The 3,987-nt window shown below is 51.3% G+C and overlaps 1 long non-coding RNA gene across 1 annotated transcript; it reads right to left on the bottom strand.

The window, feature by feature from the left end:
• Positions 1 to 1,302: 1,302 nt before the first annotated feature.
• Positions 1,303 to 3,987, bottom strand: LOC107986549 (uncharacterized). Its single transcript, XR_001743904.3, has 3 exons — positions 3,756 to 3,987; positions 2,749 to 3,445; positions 1,303 to 2,590 (listed from the first exon to the last, which is right to left on the bottom strand). It is a non-coding gene; the product is annotated as an uncharacterized LOC107986549 (long non-coding RNA).

Raw genomic sequence — 3,987 nt, 5'->3', positions numbered from 1 at the left:
AGTCGTGGCCACAGGAGGTGTGCAGCTTTTCCTAAGATCAGTTCGTCTCAGGCTGGTCACGTGAGGCTCAAGCAGTCATTTCTTTTTAAATTAGTCTGATCAGTGATGGCAACAAATAGGTCCCCAGCAGCTCTCACCTCTGACCCTGCGGGATCAAACGAGGCATTTCACAGTGAGGAACATGCTGGTGGGCACCTTCAAACATTTGCCGCTTAAAAAGTTGGTGTTACTTTAGAGCGAGCCTCGTGGAAATGTAGCTGGCTCCAAAGCTAACATGAGAATGGTTAAGGGCAAGTGATGTAGGGGAAAAGGCAGGGCCCTCGCTCCCCAAATCCTGCCTAGGCTGTTTCATAAACACGTGCATCTGGCCGGCAGCCTCATCTCTCCTGACTTTCCAGGCTGGGCTCCTGTGCTGGTCAGATCGTGGCTTCTGCCTCCTTCTTTCAAAGATGACAGAAAGGGGGTCAGGCAGCCTTGCATTTTCTGATCAAAGCATTCATTACAAGCCAGGTTTGCAAAATAACAATTCGTCCGCGTGGTGTTTTTCTAAATCACACAGTCCTGTGTATCCTGGGGTGCCACGTGCCCACCAACCTGAGGGGACAAAGCGGGGACACAAGCTCTGCCGCTCCCGGGGAACCACACCCCGACCCTGCGGCCACGACATCCAGGGCCCAGCCTGGACTCGCCAAGACGCCTTGGAAAGATCCCCCCGGGCTCCTGCCGTCAGCCGATTGACCCCACGCCCTTCCCCGCTTTTCTCGCCTGCTGCGCCGCTGACATCACATCCGGGTCTCTCCGGCCACTCAGAGAGGAGGCACCTGCTCCTCGGGAGGCGTGGTTGGCTCTAGCGTGGTGGAGAGAAGATGATTTGAGGTTGGGTGTAACCGAGCTTGCAGGGAGTTGTGGAGACCTCTGTGCACGTCCACTCGTCCCAGGACTCTTTCTGCATCCCAGTGGAGGGTCCCAGCCCGGGCGCGGACAAGGAGGAGGGTCCCAGCCTGGACGCAGACCCAGAGGAGGGTTCCAGCCCGGGCACAGACAAGGAGAAGGGTCCCAGGCCGGATGCAGGCCCAGAGGACGGTCCCAGCCCGACCGCGGGCAGGAGGGCCGGGCTCAGCGTGAGCCGAGGGTGCCCCCTGGTGGCAGTGGTGATGCTGTCCAAAGCGGGCCCTGCCACGTGAACACTTTAATTCAGGAACAAGCGCGGGAGAGGGAGGCCGGCCAGGCCTCCCCAGCTCCGGGCAAATCTTCTCATGAATTCTTAATGAGGCAGTCACAGCCCCTCTCCTGTCTGTCAGCTCCTGGGCACTATAGCACAGAGTTTATGGGTTCATTTTATTGTAACAATAAAAAGAAACAGCATTGTATGTTACCAATAAAGTAACTCTAAGACACAGCTCACACTTGTGCTGATTGTTCATTTTCTCATTGCACCGAAAACGTATTCATCATAGAAACATTGTGTACAGTCGGATGTGACATTATATTGAGGGTTCAGGTCTATAAGCAACACACTGTGATTTTATGTTGTAGGGACGCAGCGTCAGGTACAGCATGAAATGTAAACGTCACGTGGATGACCTGCTGGTGAGCGTGTGCGTCTTGTGTTTTGTGTGCACGCACCACACGAGGCCCACGTGGGATTTCTCCCTGGGGCTGGAAAGCAGCTGTGGATTGGTGTTCAGCATCTGTCGGGATGGAAGGGGCTTTTCCATCCAGAGCTCTTTCCTACTTTTAGTAGGTGATAGAATCAATTAACTGTGGGAAAATGGAAGCATCTTCCTGTCTTTAAAAAAAAATGTAAACAAGAAGCTCAACTAGATACATTGTTTTAATTTAAATACCAGAGCAAGTATTTGAAGAGCCTAGCACAGCACTGACCTGAGCCTTCCGTTCCTTTTTTTTTTTGAGATGGAATCTGGCTCTGTTGCCCAGGCTAGAGTGCGAACGGCGCAATCTCGGCTCACTGCAACCTCCACCTCCCGGGCTCAAGCGATTCTCCTGCCTCAGCCTCCCAAATAGCTGAGATTACAGGCACCCACCACCACGCCTGGCTAATTTTTGTATTTTTAGTACAGACGGGATCTCATCATGTTGGCCAGGGTGGTCTCAAACTCCTGACCTCAGATGATCCGCCCGCCTCGGCCTCCCAAAGTGCTGGGATTACAGGCATGAGCCACTGCGCCCAGTCCTATTCGCTTTTATTCCCTCAAGGAAAGCTCCTGGGTTTCCGTCACGTGGGCTCTGCTCCAGGTGCAGGACACAGGGAGGAAAAGAGGGGGCTTCTTCCCACCATGGTGTGGGGAGCAGGGTGGGGTGCAGGGTTGAGCAGTACATACAGAAGGAGGGAGGCAGTGCTGGGATTTGCACAGGTGGGCACTCGAAAGATGGGTGTGGGCAGCCACCAGGATGGGACAGAAGGAGCCGCAGGAGGTAAGACCTTCAGGACAGCAGAAGGGGCAGCGCTGGGCCAGGCAGGCTGAATCCTGGGGTGGGAGGAAAGCTGAGAAACACAGCTGCAGAAGGCAGGCGGCAGGATAAGCTGTGTGGTCTCACATCCGTTTGGCTGTGTGTGCATTCGACGGTCCTGGAAGCAAGATCACACTTGGCCAGGTGGCCTCACTCCTATGTCCATTACTGCTGTTACCTTCTCCTGTGTTTTGGTCCTGACCTAGGCATTGTAATTGGTATGTAAGCAGGGAGAGGACCAAAATAAGGAGCCTGGGGTGGGGGGTGGATACTTACAGTCTGTGTCTCAGGGAATTTCCTGAGGCCTCCTTTCTGCTTGGTTTCCCCAAAGGAGCTTCCTGGATGGACCTGTCCTCACAAAGGCCTTCAGCTCCTTCTAAGTAAAGGAACAGGCAACCTCTGCCTTCCCCTGCCACGGATTCTCTGATTTTCGGATTCTCTGTGAGTCCGTTGATGTCCCAGAAAGCGAGTCCAGAAGTGACCTTCTTCTTGGGAAATTCTCCCTCCTGAAGCCCCCGGCTGACTTGAACACATTGCCAGGTTTGCGAAACACCGTGAATAAGAGAACTTTTTCCAAAGGATGTCGCACATTCCTGCCTCCAGGAAAGACCCTGCTATCCTGAGGAAAGGAGTATTTCACTGCATTACAGTTTAAAATCTTGAATAATTACTGTTTTTCCAGTTCTTCTTTGAAATTCAAAGAGAGAGGATAGAAGGAACAAATGCATGGCAAGTTTGATTTCTGCCACGGAAGGAATCCAAACAGGACTACTCACAGCTCATGGCAAGTTTGATTTCTGCCAGGGAAGGAATCTGGACAGGAAGGAATCCGGACAGGAAGGAATCCGGACAGGACTGCTCACAACTGAACTGGAGTGCCTCCTCCATCTCCAGTGTCACGGCCTCTCCTCTTGCTAAACTTTTTGTTTAAATGCAACACTCTTTTCTCATTTGTCATGGCATTTGTCAGAACCTTGAAAAGAGATTAAAATGGAGTTGCAAAACACTGAGAGATTCAAGGAGAGCCAGTGAATCTGCAAATAATTTTTAAGATAAAAATGAAAATAATAGTAACGCTTTGAGTGTCAGTGGAATTTGACTGTAAGTACAGTTTTACTAAGACGAGGTTTTCACCTAGAGGCTCCAACTAAGAACATAATTTTAATCTGCCCAGCATTGGGTTAATCTTGACTGCATAATAGTAAAAGGTATTAGCGATATTAGAGAGCTGTTTGCAATTTCTTGGGGCCGTATTCGCATTGATCATCTCTGATGTTACTCACTGTGTTTGCAGATGGAAGACATAAGGTTAAAAGACGTCCAGATCCATTTTAGAGACGATTGAAGTGAAGCAGTGAGATCATCTATCATCTGGCAGAAATTGGGCCAAAACCAGACATCCCCCATCCAGCCAAGCTGCGAAGCCTTCCAGCACAAATGCGTCTGACCACAGCTCACCTGGGATTGTGGCCAGGAGCCAGTTAGCCGGGATTGGAGAGCAAGCATGATAAAGTG

This window comes from Homo sapiens, chromosome 6 (assembly GCF_000001405.40).
Source record: "Homo sapiens chromosome 6, GRCh38.p14 Primary Assembly".
NCBI lineage: Eukaryota > Metazoa > Chordata > Mammalia > Primates > Hominidae > Homo > Homo sapiens.
Note: the sequence above shows the minus strand (reverse complement) of the source record. Positions and strands in the feature narration are given on the sequence as shown.